This window comes from Homo sapiens, chromosome 22, assembly GCF_000001405.40.
Source record: "Homo sapiens chromosome 22, GRCh38.p14 Primary Assembly".
Classification (NCBI taxonomy): domain Eukaryota; kingdom Metazoa; phylum Chordata; class Mammalia; order Primates; family Hominidae; genus Homo; species Homo sapiens.
Genome location: NC_000022.11, coordinates 35,168,931 through 35,190,939, shown reverse-complemented (window position 1 = coordinate 35,190,939; position 22,009 = coordinate 35,168,931). Strand labels below are relative to the sequence as shown.

Genomic DNA, 22,009 nt, shown 5'->3' with positions numbered 1-22,009 from the left:
GGGGCCAGGTCATATGTTTGTTTATGAGACCTATTTATTATGTGGTGAATTGGTTTTAGAGCATAATTTCAGACACCCCTTGTAAGTATTATTTTTATGCAGGGACTTAGACCCACGATCTTCCAAGCGTGTTAAGTGGCTTTCTGAGCTAAACCGTGTCTCAATGGATTCTTGAGTTCAATGACCCCGGAGAGTTTTGATGACTCTGCTAAGGCCAAGTTGTTCCACGACTGGAAATCACCCATGCTGGCTCTGTGTGAAATTGCTACTTTTCATTAATGAGCCCAACCATGTAACACCATCATGGCATCATTTCAGGGAGACTTTTCTATGATGGAAGCTATTTACTTTATGACCCAAGTTGTACCTTTAGCAAGGGGGACACAAGAGGCACACACATCCTGGCGAAAAAATTTGTAAAGATTTTGACATTGATAGAATCACAGGGTTTCTCTTGCATTTAACTCACTTCTGCAAACATTTATAGAGTACTATTCTATGCATTGTTGAGATCAGTCTCAGTACAAGCCCCTGTTTAATATTTCTTTCTCACAGTTGGAACCATTTGATCCCATCTTAGGCTCAGTCTTATCTTCCACTCAGCAGGCCCATCTTACACTGGAGAAACAGGACTTTGGTCCAGCTATAACCCCATAACCTTGAGCTTGACACCAGCATACTCTGGCTGCTGATTTAGCTCCACTGAGATGTCCAGTTCTGGTTCTTATGAGTCCCTGTGAACCTACTCTGTACCCTATTATGGCACCAATTCTTCTGCCTTGGACCGTGTTCCTGCCTCATCTCTTCTTTGTTCTGGACAGTCTCCTGTATATGGAGAAGACATTTTTCCAGAATTTCATTCTGTTGGCTGAAAATCACCTATTTATAACAAATTCCCCAATGCTATCTGCAAGTTTTATTTAGCAGTATTGTGCTAACCTTGTATTTCTGTGTTCTACCCACTTTAAGGTTCTGAGTTATAAGGCTAGATAGATTAAAGTTAGAATACCAGTTCTACCATTACTAGCTATGTGATATTGAGAACATTCTTTAAGTTCTCTAATCCTTGATTTCTTTATGTGTAAAATGGAAATAATTATGGTACCTGCTTGATATAAGGATTAAGCAAAATTATTTTTGGAAATGAGCACCCACAATAAGTGCTCAATAAGTGGTACTGTATTCTTTCATGTTTGGCATATTAACTGATGTGTTTTGGGGAATATTAGGTTAATAGTTAAATTTTGCTTTATGTATTTGAATGCATGTTATTAGTTGCATACAAGTTTAGAATTGTTGTATCTTCCTGATAGCATTTTTTTTGCCTTAATATTTCTCAGTCTGACAGCTGTCTCTTTGTTGGGATTTGTCTAGTTTTTTCATTGTTTTATTTTCAACCTTTTTTTAACCTCATAAATAGCATATAATTGAGGTTTGTTTTTGTTTTTTTGTTTTTTGTTTTTTGTTTTTTTTTTGAGACAGGTTCTCACTCTGTTGCCTAGGCTGGAGTGGAGTGCAGTGCAGTGGTGCAATTTTGGCTCACCACAACCTCCACCTCCTGGGTTCAAGTGATTCTCATGCCTCAGCCTCCCAAGTAGCTGGGACTACAGGTGTGCACCACTATGCCTAGCTAATTTTTATATTTTTAGTAAGACAGGATTTTGCCATTGTTGGCAGTTGGCCAGGCTGGTCTTAAACTTCTGACCTCAGGTGATCCATCTGCTTTGGCCTCCCAAAGTGCTGTGATTACAGGTGTGAGCCACCATATCCAGTCATGATTGAGTTCTTAATACAGTGTTATAGTCTCTGTCTTTTAATTGGAGAGTTTAGCCCATTTACATTGATTTTGATTTTTAATTTTTTTTTTTTTTTGAGATGAAGTCTCTCTCTGTCACCCAGGCTGGAGTGCAGTGGCACAGTCTTGGCTCACTGCAACCTCCGCCTCCTGGTTTCAAGTGATTCTTGTGCCTCAGCCTCCCAAGTAGCTGGGATTACAGGCTTGTGCCACCACGCCTAGCTAATTTTGTATTTTTAGTAGAGACAGATTTCTCCATGTTGGCCAGACTGGTCTCAAACTCCCCACCTCAGGTGATCTGCCCGCCTTGGCCTCCCAGAATGCTAGGATTATAGGTGTGAATCACCATGCCCAGCCTGGTTTTTAATTTATTTAGATTCATTTCTGCTGATTTTAACTTTTCTGTGACCCACATTTTCTAGGCTTTTTCTTTTAGTTTCTATTTTCTTTTGCCTTAAGATATTTTTCTCCTTATTTCACTTTTTTCTCCACTTGTTTAGAATTTATACTAAACTTATTTTCTATTTTTCTGGTTTCTCTAGAAATATATGTGCATTGTTATATTACAACACATAATTGTATAAATATATGTAATAGTATATACTGTCATATAATTGTACACATATAAGTATATAATATATAATGTATGTAAGTTTATATATTATGTATATCAACATTCTAAAGTTAATTAACAATTTTATTTTTCTCCTGAACAAAGCAAGAGCCTTAGAATACTTTATGATTACCTGCCTCCTGACTTGTTTGTTATTGTTTTGTATTTTAATTCTTTCTTGATTTCTTAACTTCACATATTGCATGTCATTGTGTCTTATAAAATCAATGTTTGTTTAGATTTCCCCATATATTTACCATTTATTTGTTTCTATTCCTTTTTGTATCTGAAACCTTCTGAGATCATTTTCCTTCCTTGTGAAACATGTCCTTGTTTGTTAATAGACTATTCTCTGTCTTTTTTCTCTCTACAAATGCCTTTATTTCACATTTGTTGATTGAAATATAGTTTTTTTCTTGATACAGAATTCTAATCTGGTAGTTACTTTCAACACTTTGAAAATATTAATCTATTTTCTTGTGGCTTTCATAGTTGCTACAAAGTCAGTTGTCAGTTTAATTGCTCCTTTGTAGGTAATATCATATATCCCTTTTCTCTGAATTAAGATTTCCTACTTAATTCACTAATTGCACAAGTATTTGTTGATGGTTATCATGCGCTAGGTACCCCCTCCCATCATGGAACCTACATTCTAGGGTCTTTGGCATTTTGAAGTTTGCCTCTGATGTATGAAGATATTGATTTCTTTAAATTTATCCTGGTTAAGGCTTTCTTTGTTTCTTTGAATCTTTGGTTTTATGTCTTTTATCAGTGCTGGTATAATCTTAATCATTTTGTTTTTATTTCTTTAAATATAGTTTCTTCATGATTCTCCGCATTTGTTCATTTCTGAATTGTTATTTCTTGTCTTCTGCAAGCTTTGGGGTTGATTTATTCTTGCTTCTCTAATTCTTTCGGTTGTGAATTTAGGTTGTAATTTTGAGATCTTTCTAACTTTTTGATGTGGGCATTTAGTGCTGTGAATTTCCCTCTTAATATTGCCTTAGCTGTGTCCCAGAGATTCTAATATGTTGTATCTTTGTTCTCATTATTTTCAAAGAGCTTTTTGATTTTGCCTTAATTTCAATATTTACCCAAAAGTCATTCAGGAGTATGCTGTTTAATTTCCATGTAATCACATGGTTTTGAGCGATTTTCATAGTTTTGACTTCTATTTTTATTGTGCTGTGCTCCGAGAGTTTGTTTGGTATGATTTTTGTTCTTTTATGGTTGGTGAAGATTGTTTTATGTCTAATTATTTGGTAAATTTTAGAGTATGTGGCATGTAGTGATGAGAAGAATGTATACATTGTTGTTAGGTCCTTAATATCTTTGTTAATTTTCTGCCTTGATTGATGATCTGTCTAATACTGTCAGTGGAGTGCTGAAGTCTCCCACTACTATTGTGTGAGAATCTATGTCTCTTCATAGGTCTCTAAGAACTTGCTTTATGAATCTGGGTGGTCCTGTGTTGGATGCATATATATTTAGAATAGTTGGATCTCCTTGTTGAATTGAACCCTTTGGCATTCTGTAATGCCCTCCTTGGTCTTTTTTGATCTTTGTTGGTTAAAATCTGTTTTGCCTGAAATTAGGATTGTAACCCCTGCTTTTTTCTGTTTTCATTTGTTTGGTAGATTTTCCTCCATCCCTTTATTTTGAGCTCATGAGTGTCATTACATGCGAGATGGGTCTTTTGAAGACAGCATACCATTGGGTCTTGCTGTTTTATACAGCTTGACACTCTGTGCCTTTTAAGTGGGGCATTTAGCTTGTTTATATTCAAGTTTAATATTGATATTTGTGGATTTGATCCTGTCATTGTGCTGTTAGCTGGTTATTATGTTGGCTTGTTTGTGTGGTTGCTTTAAAGTGACACTAGTCTGTGTGTTTAAGAGTGTTGTGTTAGTTGGTAGCAGTCTTTCCTCTGTATTTCATGCTCCTTTCAAGATCTCCTGTAAGGCAGGTCTTGTGTTAATGAATTCTCTCAACATTTGCTTATCTGAAAAGGATCTTATCTGTCCTTCACTTAGGAAGCTTAGTTTGGCTAAATATGAAATTCTTGGTTGAAGATTTTTTTTCTTTAAGAATGTTGAATATAGGCCCTCAATCTCTTCTGGCTTATAAGGTTTCAGCTGAGAGGTCTTGCTGTTAGCCTGATGGCATTCCCTTTGCAGGTGACCTGCCCCCTTTCTCTCTAGCTGCCTTTAACATTCTTTCTTTCATTCTGGCCTTGACAAATCTGACAATTATGTGTCTTGGGGATGATTTTCTTGTGTAGAATCTTGCAGTAGCTCTCTATATTTCCTGAATTTGACTGTTAGCCCCTCTAGCAAGGTTGGGAAAGTTTTCATGGAAGATATCCTGAAATATGTTTTCCAAGTTGTTTGCTTTCTCCTCCACCCTTTCAGCATTGCTTACGATTCATGGATTTGGCCTCTTTACATAATCCCATACTTCTCAGAGATTTTGTTCATTTCTTTTTATTCCGTATACTTTATTTTTGTCTGACTGTCTTATTTCAGAGAACCAGCCTTCAAGTTCTGAGATTCTTTCCTCAGCTTGGTTTATTCTGCTGTTAATACTTGTGATTGCATTGTGAAATTCTTGTATTATGTTATTGAGCTCTGTCAGACCTGTTAGGTTCTTTTTTATATTGATTATTTCGTCCTTCAGCTCCTGTTTCACTTTATTGTGATTCTTATCTTGGATTGAGTTTTGCCATCCTGAATCTTGATGATCTTTGTTCCTATCCATATTCTGAATTCTTCTGTAATTCTAGTCAGTTCGGTCTGGTTAAGAACTCTTGTTGGAGAACTGGTGCAGCCATTCGGAGGACATACAACACTCTGGTCATTTGAATTACTGGAGTTCTTGCATTGGTTCATTTTCACCTCTGCGTGTGGGTGTTCCTTTAACTGCAGTGTAGATTGAGTACAGTCAATAGACTTCTTTTCTGGATGTTTTCACTGGGCTGAGGTTTTGTGCAGGATCTTTATTTGAAGCCGTCTTCTTGCCTCTGGTTTCAGGGGTGTCTGTTAGTGAGGTATTTTTGGTGTGGAAGCTTTGGGGTGTGGTTCAGCAGGTGACACTTAAGCTTATTGGTCAGTTGGTAAACTCTCACTCAATTATGTAGCTCCCCTGTGTTTCCTTGCAGTTGCAGTCATTTTCCCTCTCAATGCTCTGAAGGTGTGGGTTTCTCTCTCCCTTGAGTGCTGGCTGTAGGTTGTGACTTGGCACTCCTGGGCTGCCTGCTGCAGCTCTGGGGTGATCTCAGTGTTTATGTTTCTTCCCCAACTTGGAGGCAGCAGAGGAAGGGATCTTAGTAGTACTTGTGGCCAAAGGTCATTTGCTTGTCTCCTGGGGGCTCCTCCTCAGAGAGATGCTGTTCAGTAATCATCAGTGCAGTCAACCCTGGATGGAGGGTCTGTGCTGTGGACCCAAGCCAGGGGTTCCCTGTGTGGTGATGAGCAGTTGGGGATGTGCGGTACTCATGGGAAGTGGACTGGCCTCCTCTCCTTGGGTCGATTGCAGCTGGTTGGAGGTGTGGATAAAGCACTTAGGGTGTTTGCTCCTTCATTAGTCCAAGGGTAGCAAGGGCAGTTCCACTGCAGAGGCAGTGGTGGAGAGGCTTTCACTTGCCCCTGGAGGCTCTGTCCAGGAAGTTGTTGAGTTGCTACTGGTTTGATAGCTCTGCGGGGGGCTGGGGAGGAGGTGGCTGGAGGCTGAGGCCTGGAGGATCTGCCTGGTGAGTTATCTATTCTTTATTTCTCTGCTTCTTCCTTTTTGAGTTTTATTGGATGAAATGAGTAATTTTTGTTATTCAATTTAATTTCCCATATTAACTTTTTAGATATAATAGTTTTTTGTTGGGGGGATTGTTCTAGAGATTATAATATGTATCTTTAACTCATCACTGTACCTTCAAAGGATATTATACTGTTTGAAAAACAATGTAAGAACCTTAAAACAATACAATTATTTTTATCCCTTTCTTGCCTTTTGTGCTCTTGTTATATATTTTTCCTCTCTGTATATTCTAAATCCCACAATAAATAGTTATTGTGCCTTAAACAGTCTTTTAAAATAATTTAAAATATATAATATGTAAAACAAATATAATTAAAATAACACATAAATATTTACCTTGATGTTTATTATTCTTATGTCTCTATTCCTTTCCACATCTGATTTCATTTGCCTTTCAGCTTGAAGAACTTGTTTCAGCATTACTTATAGTGCAAGTCTGCTGGAGACAAATACTCTTAGTTTTTTGCTTGTCTAAAAATGTTTTCATTTCACTTTTGTTTTTGAAGGGTATTTTCATTAGATACAGACATCTTGATTGACTTGGTTGACAGTTTTTTTTTCCTTCCAGCACTATAAAAATGCAGTTCCACTGTTTTCTGGCTACCTTGGTTTCCACTGTGACATTAGCTGTCATTCTTACGAATTGTCTATATATGATGTGACATTTTTCTCTCTTTAAGATACTGATATTTTTATACTCTATCAAATTTTAAAGATATCGTCTTTATCCTTTCAGCAGTTTGACCATAATGTGCTCCACTGAAGATTTGTTTGTATTTATTCTGATTAGAATTCACTGTTTTTCTTGGATCTGTGGCCTATAATAAACTTTTGAATTTCATATGGAGATGAAGTTTAAAACGAAATTTAAAAAATTTAAACTTTGATTAACTCACCAATCATCACATAAATTTTCCACTCTTCTCAATATATTGAAAAAAATGCATTATGATTTAAAACTTTTCCAACTATGGCAGAGATACAAATCTTCTGGAATTAAGAAAGAGAGACTAGTCAGTGAAGATTGGGGTTTAGATGTCTAGTCCCTAGAAAGACCTCTACCTGTACTTTCTTTCTAGGGAAGAATAAAAGGGAAATAGTGGTGACAACAGAATTTCCCAATTAGCGGTGCCTCATAGTAGAGGAAACATGTGCCCTTTTTCCTGCATAAGGCTTTAGAACGTGGCAAGATCCATAATTCTCCTCTGCCCTATTTTGGTCTGAGGAATTGAATAGAACTGATTTCAGGTGTCTAGACAGAGATTACTGCATGAGCCTCATAAAATTCCTGGAAAGCGGAGGAATGACTTTTTTTTTTGGAACCCAGTTGTAGCACTGATGTCAAGAAAAGCCTTAGTCATCCTCAGAGAGCTTGATGAAGGACCTGAGTGGAAGTTAGCTGTGACAAAGCTTGGAGGCTTTGCTGTTGGGACAAAGACACACAGTAGTACAGACTCTTTGAAGATGTCAAGTGGCCAGAAGGTAATGACTGAGGATCAGATTCTGCTCTCTATACTCTGTACTTTGACATTACTAAATTTTTGAGAATTTAGATAATCCTTAGTAGGGAAGTAGATCAGAAACTGAGTGAAGTTCAGTTTTTGCCCCCAAGCAAAATGAAGTTTAAGAAAGTAGTTAAATTCAGTGATGGTGGGCTGGGTGTGGTGGCTCGTGCCTGTAATCCTGGCACTTTAGGAGGCCAAGCAAGGCAGATCACCTGAGGTCAGGAGTTCAAGACCAGCCTGGCCAACATTATGAAACACTGTCTCTACTAAAAATACAAAAACAATTAGCTAGGCATGGTTGCCTGTGCCTGTAATCCCAGCTACTTGGGAGGCTGAGGTGGGAGAATCGTCTGAGCCTGGAAGGCAGAGGTTGCAGTGAGCTGAGATTGCGCCACTGCACTCAAGCCTAGGTGACAGAGCAAGACTCTGTCTCAAAAAAATAAAATAAGGCTGGGCGCACTGGCTCACACCTGTAATCCCAGCACTTTGGGAGGCTGAGGCGGGCCGATCACGAGGTCAGGAGTTCGAGATCAGCCTGGCCAATATGGTGAAACCCTGTCTCTATTAAAAATACAAAAATTAGCTGGGTGTGGTGGCACACGCCTATAATCCCAGCTACTTGGGAGGCTGAGGCAGGAGAATCGCTTGAACCTGGCAGGTGGAGGTTGCAGTGAGCCAAGATTGTGCCACTGCACTTCAGCCTGGGCAACAGAGTGAGACTCTATCTCAATAAATAAATAAATAAATAAATAAATAAGTAAGTAAGTAAGTAAATAAATTCAGTGATGGCAAAATGAAAGTTTTGTTTATTATATCCCTGAGTTTTTGGGTTGTTATTTCATCTGTAATGATGACTATTATTATTGTTATTATCATTAAACATTTTTTTTTATTATACTTTAAGTTTTGGGATACATGTGCAGAGCGTGCTGTTTTGTTACCTAGGTATACACGTGCCATGGTGGTTTGCTGCACCCATCAACCTGTCATCTACATTAGGTATTTTTCCTAATGCTATCCCTCCCCTAGCACCCTACCCTCTGATAGGCCCTGGTATGTGATGTTCCCCTCCCTGTGTCCATGTGTTCTCATTGTTCAACTCCCATTTATGAGTGAGAACATGCGGAGTTTGGTTTTCTGTTCCTGTGCTAGTTTGCTGAGAATGATGGTTTCCAGCTTCATCCATGTCTCTGCAAAAGACATGAACTCATCCTTTTTTATGGCTGCATAGTATTCCGTGGTATATATGTGCCACATTTTCTTTATCCACTCTATCATTGATGGGGATTTGGGTTGGTTCCAAGTCTTTGCTATTGTGAATAGTGCCGCAATAAACATACGTGTGCATGTGTCTTTATCGTAGAATGATATATAATCCTTTGGGTATATACCCAGTAATTGGATTGCTGGGTCAAATGGTATTTCTGGTTCTAGATCCAGCAACACTTTTAAACTCTCCTTCTTAATCAAACTTCAGCACATTCTGTATTCTTTTTCAGCGAGTAGGTTACTTCCACAGTATACCTAGAGGAAATGCATGTGCAGAAATAGCAGGAGATAAGGCCAGAGCAGTCATTTGGAACTGGATCCATGGAACATGGATCATGGAAGACCTCAATGCCAAGCTGATGTGTTTGGACAAGATCCTGCAGGCAAGTGGGGTGAGGAGGTGCTGAGAGTTTTAAGCCTAGAAGAGGCTTGATAAAAATGGTGTTTGAAGAAGACTAGTTTTGTTTTTCTGATATTGAGACAACCAGGAAGCTTAAAAAAAAAAAAAAAAACCCAAACACACAAAGAAGAACAACAACAAAATGTAGATTTTTTTCTTTTTGCTTCTCTTTTCTGAAAAAAAGAGACAAATTAGCTTATATAAAGTGATGTGGGTAAGATGGTGATAGAGGGGCTAACAATAATAAAAATCCAACTCTCAGAGCATGATGTAAAGTATGTCCAATGTTTACAACCTTCTGTGTCCTTGTATCTGCAGGGCTTCCAGTGGTGGTGTTGAGACCCTGCAAGACTGTTACCTTCCAAATCCAGTCCGTGTATTCTTATAGATTCCCCAGCTATCTTGCCTCCTCCCCTAGAAAGTGTTCCAAGACCCTTTTAGCTCTTCAAGCTCTCATTGTAATATCTGTTCCACTTTTGGGCTCATATCACTTTCTTACCTTGACTTTGAATTAATGGACTTGCCTTCTCTGTCCTACCAGACCATGAGCTTTTTGAGGGCTAGGAAACACTTCATCTTCTGACACATAGTGAATACTCAAAACATGTTGGTTAAGTGATCTAATTCATGTGAACCACTGGGACTTATAAATCTTCAGAGGGGAAAAAAAAGATTAGTGCCAGTTCATGGTGATTTTAGTTGGAAGTGTACTTCATTGTATGGGTCCTTTGAAGAGAGGTAATTCAAGTAGGCTACAGAGTCGGGAATTTTTAATTGTAGTGGCAATCTGGGATCCACAGGGAGAAAATAATTCATCAAGCATCAGTTATAAAAGAAACATTGAAAGTTTGACAAGGAATTAGAGAATAATGTGTAAAATGTCCATCTCTTTTGCATTCCAAGTTAGAGGTGGGGACGATATGTTCTGATGGGAGAGAAGAATTGGGATTTGGGATCAGACATTCATGAGCTTGCATCCTGTTCCTACACATTTTTGGCTGTGTGACTTTACACAGGTCACTCAATTTGAGTTTCAATGGCACAGACTTTGAATCTAGACTACTTGAATTTGAATTCTGACTCTGCAAAATACATAATGGTGTGACTTTGGGCAAATTACTTGTGCCTCGATATTTTGCTTTTGTGAAATAGGGGTAGTAATAGTACCTGGATTTAGAGTTATTGAGAGGATTAAACATATTAATACTCGTGAAAGTGCTTTGAAAAGTGTCTGAAACACAGTAAATATGTAGGTTAGGTTATTATTATAATGATAAATATTGTTATTTTGCCTTGTGGGGTTATGATGCAGATTTTATATGCAGTCATGAACCCCATAATGACATTTTGGTTGATGACAGACTGCATATATGACAGTGGTCCCATAAGATTGTAATATTGTATTTTTACTATACTTTTTCTATGTTTAGATATATTTAGATACACAAACACCATTATGTTATAGTTGCCTCCAGTATTCAGTACATAATACAGTTTGAATCTATGTCCCCACCCAAATCTCATGTTCAATTGTAATCCCTAGTGTTGGAGGTGGGGCCTGGTGGGAGGCGATTGGATCGTGGGGGTGGATCCCTTATGAATGGTTTAGCATCATCTCTTGGTGCTGTTCTCATAATAGAGTTCTCATGAGATCTGGTTGTTTAAAAGTGGGTGTCACCTCCCCCAACCCTTTCTCCTGCTCCCACCATGTGAGATGTGTCTGTTCCTGCTTTGCCTTCCTCCATGACTGTATGTTCGCTGAGGCCTCCCCAGAAGCAGATGCTGCCATGCTTCCTATATGGCCTGTGGAACCATGAGCCAATTCAACCTCTTTTCTTTATAAATTATGTAGTCTCAGTTATTTCTTCATAGCAATGCGAGAATGGACTAGTCAAGTACAGTAACATGCTGTCCAGGTTTGTAGCCTAGGAGCAATAGGCCATGCCATATAGCCTAGGTGTGTAGTAGGCTATAACATCTAGGTTTGTGTAAGTGCAGTCTATGATGTTTGCACAAGGAAATCGCCTAACGATGCATTTCTTGAACATATCCCAGTCATTAAGCAATGTGTGACTGTGTATATAAATGTATATAGTATTATTTTCTTTTTTTTTTTTTTTTGAGATGGAGTCTTGCTCTGTCACCCAAGCTGGAGTGCAGTGGCGCCATCTCAGCTCACTGCAAGCTCCGCCTCCCGGGTTCATGCCATTCTCCTGCCTCAGCCTCCCATATAGCTGGGACTACAGGTGCCCGCCACCATGCCCGGCTAATTTTTTGTATTTTTAGTAGAGATGGGGTTTCACCGTGTTAGCCAGGATGGTCTCGATCTCCTGACCTCGTGATCTGCCCGCCTTGGCCTCCCAAAGCGCTGGGATTACAGGTGTAAGCCACCGCGCCCGGCCTATAGTATTATTTTCTATATGTAGTATTATCTAATGATTTTAGTTCAATGATTGATCCTTACGGTCATGCCATGGAATAGAGGCTCATTAGTAAATATTAAGGAATATACTGTCCTATCTTGATTATTTTAGGAGCACAACCATGATAGTGAAGAAAGAAATAGTAAAAGGAGGAAGGTTGATGAGGCACAAGAGAGGTAAGTTTAAAGAGGGAATGAGAATGAAAGACACCTAGGGAGAGAGCAGAAGAGGAGAGAAAGAGAAAGGGAGACAAACAGATACATTTGAACTTCGATGAGAAATAAGTCAGGAACCACGCTCTTCCAGACTCACTAAAAACAGGGACTTCAGCACCATCATTCCCTATTTTGAAATATCTACAGACAAATTAACCACGGCTCTTGCTCACTGCTGTAAGGTTGACCTCAGCAGAGCCTTGCGCCGGGCTGGGGAATGGTCCTCCCGGAGCTGGCCCCAGAGTCAGCAGTGCCCTGGGTGGGTGGGGAGATGTGGTGCTTGGCCTGTAACTCTCGCTCCATCTGGGCTCTCCTGCCAGCTGTGTGTTGTTTATGGCAGCTCCCTATGAGGAAGACAGGGAGTCACCTCCTGTCATCTGGAATCACCTGGAGCTTCCCCGAAAGTGCCGAACCACTCTGCCAGCCATTCTACCATTGTGCAGCGTGGTACACTTCGATGTGCCCGTGTGGATGCCCCAACCCTGAGACTCCACAGAAGATGTTGGCCTCATCTTCCTAGTATTCCTGCGATGTTCAGTGCCCTGCAATTTCCCTTTTCAATCAAAGCTGCTCCTGGCATTGGCAGACATGCCTGCCCAGCCTCACTCCTCTAATTTCTGGGGACACGGCAGTAGAGGGGCTTGTTGCAGAGAGGAGAGGAAGCCGAGAATGGAGACTTGGGCACAATTAAATTTGCCATTGAGACATTTCACCAACATTTGGCAAAAGGTCCCTGACTCTGTGTGGCTGTGCAGGCAGCCCAGTGCCCAGGCTGCCAGCTTCTTGGAGCTCCATGATGACTGCCAAGGGCCTGGCCATGTTCTCCTGCCTGTCAGTGCCTGTCCAGGAGGCTGCTTGCTGGCATGCTAAAAATGGAGGCCAGCTCTTGAAAAGCCAGGAGGGGGCAGTGCAGAAAAGCAGGCCTGGTAGGCACAGAGGAATCAGGCCAGGCAGCCACAGGTCTGTGGGTCTGGGCCAAGGAGACAGGTGGGAAGCAGCTGAGCCACCTGGGATCAGGTGGGTGGGATAGTGTAATTTTCACATATACTGAGCATCTCACGTGTGTGAAGCTTGCGTCTCTGTCCATTTATTCTGTTTCCTTCCTGGTAACAGAATGGATGGGCTATCCCTGCTCCTATCCAAGGCCACCTTCTCCACCTGTGCACTAGATACCTCTTCCTTCTTAAGGACATCGCTGTCGCCACTCTCTTCTCTCCTGCTTCATCAGGTTTTCTTCTAAGCTCTGGATCCTTCCCATGAGCACACAATGCAAACAGGCTGTAATGTCTTCCAACTTCAACCAAACCCTTCCTTGACCCCACATCCCTTCCCGTTGCTCCCACTTTTCTTTACTCCCTTTTACAGCTAAACTCTTTGAAAGAGTTTACTATGCTCACTGTCACCAATTTCTTGTCTCCCATTTGCTCTTGAATACACCCTAATCAGGCATTTTTCTACTCTCCCACAAACATTACTCCCAGATGGTCACATCTAGTGGATATTTGTGTTATTGTCTTAACTGACCTCTTGGTGGCTATCTGTCATTCTAGAAGCACTCCCTTCTTTTGACTTCAGGAAACCATATTTTCCTGGTTTTCTTCCCATTGATCATTTCCACCCACTCTCCTTCTCTGGCTCTTCCTCTTCTCCAGTTTCCAAAGGCTGCCCTGTCCCTGGACTTCTTCACATTGACTCCTTTCCAGTTTATATCCTCTGCCTGTACAAATTTGAACTATGGATGTGTTTACACAGCTGTCTATTTTACAGATGTCTATTTCTACTCATGCAATGGTGTGCCCTGTCTGTGCCAGGCACTGTGTGGCTGCTGGGGATCTACTGTGATCCCTGCCCTTAGGGGGCTTCTAGTCAGTGCTCTTTGCTTTCTCTGTGTGCTAACTTATAACTTGATGATTAATTTTCTGCTTTGGTATCTATATCCTCTTATTTGCTGGCTGATATTAGTTCCTAGAAACACCAGTCAGGTGTTCAAATCAAGATCTGCTTTCCAGAGTTAAGAGCTGGATCTGTGGGGTGGGGTGTAATCCAGGGCAGCCAGGAATGGGAGGGGACAAATGGCAAATGAGAACTTAGACCCTCAGAAACACAAAAGGTTAAAATCCAGAAATCCAATGGGGTCATCAAATCCAGAAATGGAGTGAGTCCAGAAATGGGACACTCATACACTGTGTTCAGTTGTGTAGGTTGTGCACTGTACAAGGGCACTCCTACCACTGGGGGCAAGTGGGGACTGAAATCAGCCTGTGTTCTTCCCATGATGAGTGCTTGCTCAGGGCTGTGTCTGCCCGGAGAGGGGAGCCTTTTTTTCCTGATTCATACAAAGCCACATAGACTGGCTGGTATCCTGACTATGAATAACCCTTGCTTCCTTTCACCATTCAGCTAGAATGCTAGTTCCTGGATGCTGTGGTTTGTCCAGACCAAAACTCATGTTCAAATTTAATTGCCGATGTTACAGTATTGAGAGGTGGTGAGGACTTTAAGAGGCCTTTGGGTCATGTGGGCTCTGCTCCCATGAATGAATTAATACAGTTCTCTTAAGACTGCATTTGTGCTCGAGGGTCTGGAATAGTTACCTTTGAGAATGGCCGCCTCTTGTCTTTGCCCTTTAACACGCTGGCTTTCCCTTCAACTTCTCTGCAATGTTGTGATGCAGCACGAGACCCTCAGCAGAAGGTGAGCAGATGCCAGCACTATGCTCCTTGGACTTCCCAGCCTCCAGAATCCTGAGCTAAATAAATCTCTTTTCAAGTAAATCACCCAGTTTCAAGTATTCTGTTAAAGCAACAGCAAACAGACTAAGACACTTGGAGAGGTCTCCCTAATACCCTCTCTGGAGTAGGTCTTCCGGGCTGTTCCAGTTCTCATTTCCCTCTTTGGCCTTCTTAGCTCTTGTCAAATTTGTAATTACTCATTTGTGTGCTTCTTTGTTTATTACGGTCCCCACCAGATTGTAAACCCACGAGGGCAGGGGCTGTCTCTGTTTGGTTCACTGTGCATATCTAGCATCTGGCACATTGTGGGAATCTATTCATAGCTGTTGGATGAATGACTGAGGGCAGAGTCAGAACAGAGGATGAGGATAAAGAGGATGAAAATAAAGTGGAGGGGACAGGTGGCTGCATGTGGATAGGTAGACCCATGTTTGGGTTTCCTCATTGGCTGTGCTGTGTGCGTTCTGGTTCTCAAGAGCTACCAGAATATACCTGGGCTCCTGCCTATGCCCTAGGTTCCTGCTCAACCTGCCCTTGCCCCTTCTGAGTCCTTGTATTAATCACCTACTAGGTACCAGGCCCTGCACTAGGTGTGGGTGACAGACGTGTCTTGGGCCCAGTCTCACCCTCAAGGACATCACAGACCCACAGAGGAAACAAGGCTTGTAGAGCAAAGAGAAACAGGGGCAAATTCAATGGGATGAGTGCAGAGAAAGGGCAGGGGAATAATGTCATATTGGAGAATCAGGCAGGTTTCAGAGAAGAGGGGGCATTCTGGTTAAGCCTTGAAGGAGGAATATGATTTCACTGGATGAAGAAGTGGAAGGAATTCTGGTCTGAGGTAACAGCAGCTGGATGGATGAACAGCAAGCAGTGTGTGTGTGTGTGTGTGTGTGTGTGTGTGGCTGCAGCATAAGGCGTGCATCTCAGGTACTGTGCTAAACAATTTGATGCTCTCGACCACTCTGCAATTTTTTTTTCATTTTACTTTTTCCAAAAACTTTCCCCATTTTCCATTTTACAGATGAGGAGACTGAGATTCAGAGGGGCCATCTAGGGTAGCCAAGGTCACACATCGAGAAAGCAGTGAGGGTTATGGAGGGCCAGGAAAGGGTGTGATGTGAGAAGGGGATTTCTCTGGAGGCTGCATGTGGAATCTGGCTCAGGGTGGGTAGAGACCCATGAGTAGCTGCTGCACAGCATGGTGAGGGATGAGAGGAGGGCTTTGGGGGTAGAAGGCTCCCAGCTCCTGTGCTGTCTTTGAACACGTGCAGCCCATTCATCCTAGAGAGGAACGAGGAGGCAGCTCTCAGGGAGAAAGGCCATGAACTCCAGGTGACCATGCAAATGTTCCTGAGAAGCATCCCCTCTCCTCACCCTGTTCCCATACTAAGTCCGGGACATCCTTTTCTCAAAGGAGACTAATTGATAATCCAGGGTGATAAAATGTTATCACTGTCATTCCATTGAAATGCAATAGCAATGCCCTATAAATGTTCTATAAATCACCCAGAGCTTAAAGAGGAGAGTGAAATGAGCATTGCATTATAAACCACAGAGCCCATTAATCACATGGCTACAAACCATAAATATGACAAGTACATCCATCAATCCTGCACCTTTCTTTCTGGTCTGCAAATGCACGCATTAGCAACTTAATGGATTTAGAAGGCATTTTCTCCTGTAGACTCAGAAACAGAGAGTATTTTATTATTAGCCTCCTGGGCTTAAAAGGAAGGGAAAAAGAAGTCACCTTTCACCACAGTACTCGGGGGCACTACAGGGGGTGTCCAGGCGGTGGCTACAGCCACTGACTCTGCCTGAATTCTGAAGACATCAGAGACCTGGGAGCCTGGCCTTGGGCAGTAACAAGACTTTTGGGGGGCCATGACCTGCCCTGCTTCCTGGCCTCCACCTGCTCCTGGATCACACAGCTGCAGCTCCTTGACCTGAAGGTTCAGGCCTGCCCCAGGCTTCTGGGCCAATCTTTCCCTCAGATTAGAGGGATTGATGTAGCTTGAGTTTATAATAACAAAACTGCATTTTCATTTCATTTTTGCTGCTAGAGTTACTCTGATTTTGTGTCTTAATGATAGGCTTCTTTCTTCTTTCTCAGACTGCATTCCTACCTGGCTCTGAGAAACCAACAGACATAGTCCTTGCCCTTTGGGGCTCACCATTGAAGGGGAGGTACACACCCCATGTGTGGAAATGCAGAGACAGAAAGGTCCAGAGATGGCGAGAGACCTGGTTCTCCTCCTGGTCATGGGAGTCCTTCCTTGTCACTCCCACTCTGACCTCAGGGCTGGGGTCTTGCTGGATTTATGGATTTCAGCCTTTGGCTGGGGCATCTTGTCTGCAGACTTTCCTGAGGATTGCATGATGGGTTCAGCTCACAGGTGTGGGAGCAGATGCGCTCTTTCCATTGCCTGATGAAGAGAGACAGTGTCTCAGATGAATAGGACAAAAGTTTTGAAGTCAAACAGGTCTAAATTTGGATGCCAGCTGTGTGACCTTGGGCATGTCACTTTGTGACTCTGAACCTCGGTTTTCTTCCCCATGCATGCAAGTAGTCTGTCTCTCAGAGTTTGTACTACTAGTAACTGACATGTATTAAGTCTTTCACGGTACTTAGCCAGTGCTGTGCTAAGTACATTACCCTATAAAGCTCATTCTGTTCTCAAAACTGCTGTGAGGGGCTCATGGGAGCCTCGACGTGGCTGGGGTGGGGGCTGTAGTTGAGAAGACCTAAACCTCCAGGACAGTGGTTCTCAGTTGGGGTGATTCTGCTGCCTATGGGGCATTTGGCAATGTCTGAAGTAATTTTTAGTTGTTTCAACTGGGTTATCTAGTGGGTAGGGCCAGAGATGCTGCAAACCTCCTGCAATGTACAGGACATCTCTCCCAGGCTGATGAAGAATTATTTGACCTAAAATGTCAGTAGAGCTGAATTTGAGAAATGGTGCTCTAGGAGAAGCAGGCTGGCAGTAAAGCCAGGGGATCATAATTTCCAACTCAGCTGCGGTGCAGAATGCTAGTCTAACTGGGTTATGACCCAGACCCTTTCTGCAATGGGAAATGTCTCTGAAAGCAGGCCAGTGACGCCTTGGTTCCATCCTCTGGGCTGGGCTTCCTTCCTGCAGTTCCATCCCTCTCCCACTACCTCACTCCCACCCACTCCATCCCTCTCCAAACATTCGCTGAGCACCTGCTTCATCCAGAAGGATAAGACCCAGCCCCCAGCCAGGAGCAGACAGCGCACAGCCCAGGGAGGGAGAATGGCACAGAATCAGATGTAAAGAGATAAACAAAGAAACTTAGCAGCCAGCATGGGGGCTCCCCTAAGGGAGAGAGGGTCTTCATTTGGGAAAGTGCCTTGGTAGGGCTCAAGCTTCAGTACTGAGATCACAGTGTTGAGCCCCCACATCCCAAAGTGGAGGTTCTGCCAGGGCTCTCGTGCTGGACTTCACATCCTAGTCATCTCATGAGATGGGCCCCGCCTCTCACCAATTAAATGAGAATTTCAGGGACATCTGCCGTTTGAAAGCTCCCCAGGGGATTGGAATGAGCAGTCAGTTGAGAAGCACATGGCTTTGCCTGGCCAGTCTCTGAGACAGATGCCAGGTGTGCACCACATCCCACAGGTAAGTGTCATTTAGTACGTTCAGGAGTCTGGTCTGCTTAATGTCTGCTTAAGGTGGCTCTGATATCTTGCAGGTGCAGGATTTCAGACGAGTAGCCACCTGGATGAGATACTGATTTTCCTGCTGAGTAGGAGTTGAAACAGAATGGAGGGTGGAGAGAAAGGAACCAGAAACATGGAAGAAAACTGGAACCAGGTGAGGACAAGGGCCAGGGGATTTCCCGTGGGAGGGGGCCCTGCTGCTTCCCTGTGGTTGTTTGCCTTGCTGCAGTGGGAACCCCTCTGATCCCCTGCCAATCTTCACAATGTGTTTCTGTGAGCAGCATTTTATGTAAGTGTGTGTAAACTGAAGAGGGGGCAAAATCTCACATTCCGGTTGGTGGTAGGCAGAGCAAGGCACCTACAAAGAAGCAGGGAGCCCACAGGCATCAGAGGTCAGAAAGCATCAGCTCAGGAACAGCAGACATCTTGGGTGAGGGTCTTTGTTTTGAGATGGAATTTCACTCTTGTTGCCCAGGCTGGAGTGCAGTGGCACGATCTTGGCTCACTGCAACCTCTGCCTCCCGGATTCAAGCAATTCTCCTGCCTCAGCCTTCCGAGTAGCTGGAATTACAGGTGCCCACCACCATGCCCTGCTAGTGTTTTGTATTTTTAGTAGAGATGAGGTTTCACCATGTTGCCCAGGCTGGTCTCGAACTCCTGACCTCAAGTGATCCACCCGCCTCAGCCTCCCAAAGTGCTAGGATTACAGATGTGAGCCACCGTGCCTGGCCCAAGTTGCTTAGCTTTCTCTTGCTATAAAATTGCCCAGATCCAAGGAATTAAGACAATAAACGCCGATTTCTCGTTTATGTGCAGACCTCTGTGGAGGCTCCTATTAGGCAGGTCTCTTCCCAGTACTGACTCAGGGCTTTGATTCCTTCCATCTGTAGCTCACACAGAGCATCTGAGGAGGAGAGGGAAGAAAAGCCTGCAGGAGCCCCTTTTGCCCTTGACTGCCCTGTCCTGGAAGTGACCCCTCACTTCTGCTCAGATTCCATCAGTGAGAACGAGGCACAGGGACCCACCGAGACACCAATGGGCTGTGGGCTGAGGAAGAGGTGAGTTTCATGAGCATGTGACCAGTCTGTGATGCAGAACCCCATTGTCCTCTGTGTTCCATACGTGAGTCACTCAGTAGGAGAGGTGTGCGGAGGCACATGGGAGAGAAGAGTTTGCTTAGTCTGGGCAAGTTTTGGAAGGCTTCCTGGAGGAGGTGCTGCTGAACCTGGTCTGCAGAAAAAGCCAGAGATAAGGGCCAAGAGGGCCAAGGAATGTGATTCAGTCTGCGTCTCCATGCCTTTGCAGGTGCATTAGTGTACGTTGCTGCTGTAACAAATCACCACAAGGCTAGTGGCTTGAAAAAACACAAATGGTGTTACCTTTCTGTAAGTTAGAAGTCTGAAGCATGTCTCACTGAGCTGAAAATCAAAGTGTTGGTGGGGCTGCTTTTCTTCTTGGAGGCTCTAGGGAAGGATCAGTTTCCTTATCATCCCCAGCTCCAGGGGGCTGCCATATGCCTCAGCCCTCCCTCCATCTACAAGGCCAGCAATATCCCAGCTCTCTGGCATTCTTATGTAGTCTCATCTCCCGCTGACCACAGCCAGGGGAGTCTCTGAGTTTAAGGACTCATGTGATTAGATTGGGCCCGCCTGGGAAATCCAGGCTAATTGCCTTAACCTTAATCACATCTGAGAAGTCCATTACCTTAAAGTGACATATTCGCAGGTTCTGGGGATTAAGACATGAATGTCTTTGGTGGGCTTGGGGGGCAATCTACCTACCACACACATGCAATTCCTTCTACCTGAAATGTCCTGCCTTCTCTTTGTCTATCTGGCTAACCTCTATGCATCTTTGAAGACCCATTCAAATAACTTTCCCATCACTCATTGAGGAGTTAGTCTCGCCTTCAGCATGTTTCTGTTGTGCCATTTGTATCCTACTGTAATTACTAGTGTACTTCCCCCAATCCCCATGGCAAAGTCTTTGGGGTCAGGGTCTCTGACTTAGTTATCTCCATATCTTTAAAATCTACCATAATGTTGGACACAAATGTGCCCTGTGTTTGTGGAATAAATGGCTAATATATACATATATATATACATATATATATATATATATGTATATATATATAATTTTACAGTGTTCTATTCAGAAAGGGCAGAAGGCTTATATTATATAATTTAAAAGGAAATATTATCTCAGCCTAATTGTTCCTGTAGGATCTCAACTTTCATCTGAAGGCTTTTTTTTTTTTTTTTTTGACATGGAGTCTTGCTCTGTTGCTCAGGCTGGAGTGCAGTGGCATGATCTTGGCTCACTGCAACCTCCGCCTCCTGGGTTCAAGTGATTCTCCTGCCTCAGCTTCCCAAGTAGCTGGAATTACAGGTGTGTGCCACCATGCCCCGGTAGTTTTTGTATTTTTAGTAGAGACAGGGTTTTGCCATGTTGGCCAGGCTGGTCTCAAATTTCCCTCTGTTTGTCTGTTATTGGTGTATAAGAATGCTTGTGATTTTTGCACATTGATTTTGTATCCTGAGACTTTGCTGAAGTTGCTTATCAGCTTAAGAAGATTTTGGGCTGAGACGATGGGGTTTTCTAAATATAAAATCATGTCATCTGCAAACAGGGACAATTTGACTTCCTCTTTTCCCAATTGAATACCCTTTATTTCTTTCTCCTGCCTGATTGCCCTGGCCAGAACTTCCAACGCTATGTTGAATAGGAGTGGTGAGAGAGGGCATCCCTGTCTTATGCCAGTTTTCAAAGGGAATGCTTCCAGTTTTTGCCCATTCAGTATGATATTGGCTGTGGGTCTGTCATAAATAGCTCTTATTATTTTGAGATACATCCCATCAATACCTAATTTATTGAGAGTTTTTAGCATGAAGGGCTGTTGAATTTTGTCAAAGGCCTTTTCTGCATCTATTGAGATAATCATGTGGTTTTTGTCTTTGGTTCTGTTTATATGCTGGATTACATTTATTGATTTGCGTATGTTGAACCAGCCTTGCGTCCCAGGGATGAAGCCCACTTGATCATGGTGGATAAGCTTTTTGTGCTGCTGGATTCAGTTTGCGTATTTTATTAAGGATTTTTGCATTGATGTTCATCAGGGATATTGGTCTAAAATTCTCTTTTTTTGTTGGGTCTCTGCCAGGCTTTGGTATCAGGATGATGCTGGCCTCATAAAATGAGTTAGGGAGGATTCCCTCTTTTTCTATTGATTGGAATAGTTTCAGAAGGAATGGTACCAGCTCCTCCTGTACCTCTGGTAGAATTTGGCTGTGAATCCGTCTGGTCCTGGACTTTTTTTGGTTGGTAGGCTATTAATTATTGCCTCAATTTCAAAGCCTGTTATTGGTCTATTCAGAGATTCAACTTCTTTCTGGTTTAGTCTTGGGAGGGTGTATGTGTCAAGGAATTTATCCATTTCTTCTAGATTTTCTAGTTTATTTGTGTAGAGGTGTTTGTAGTATTCTCTGATGGTAGTTTGGACTTCTGTGGGATTGGTGGTGATATCCCCTTTATCATTTTTTATTGCGTCTATTTGATTCTTCTC

General features: G+C 42.6%; 1 long non-coding RNA gene across 1 annotated transcript in view, besides 2 other annotated features; it reads left to right on the top strand.

The window, feature by feature from the left end:
• Nucleotides 1-22,009, top strand: part of LINC01399 (long intergenic non-protein coding RNA 1399) — a 111,233-nt gene that overhangs the window by 40,117 nt on the left and 49,107 nt on the right. The window contains exons 3-4 of the long non-coding RNA NR_126356.1: nucleotides 18,480-18,601; nucleotides 19,338-19,505. This is a non-coding gene — a long non-coding RNA (long intergenic non-protein coding RNA 1399). The remainder of the gene's footprint in view (nucleotides 1-18,479; nucleotides 18,602-19,337; nucleotides 19,506-22,009) is intronic.
• Nucleotides 12,821-13,322: an enhancer, noted in NCBI's record as "H3K4me1 hESC enhancer chr22:35573611-35574112 (GRCh37/hg19 assembly coordinates)". NCBI's record gives its function as "activates a minimal SCP1, AML or CMV promoter by ChIP-STARR-seq in primed H9 embryonic stem cells {active_cell/tissue: H9 hESC(primed)}" and the evidence as "EXISTENCE:reporter gene assay evidence [ECO:0000049][PMID:30033119]".
• Nucleotides 18,515-19,714: an enhancer, noted in NCBI's record as "MED14-independent group 3 enhancer chr22:35567219-35568418 (GRCh37/hg19 assembly coordinates)". NCBI's record gives its function as "activates an origin of replication core promoter dependent on BRD2, BRD4, P300/CBP and CDK7 cofactors, and independent of MED14, by STARR-seq in HCT116 cells {active_cell/tissue: HCT116}" and the evidence as "EXISTENCE:reporter gene assay evidence [ECO:0000049][PMID:35650434]".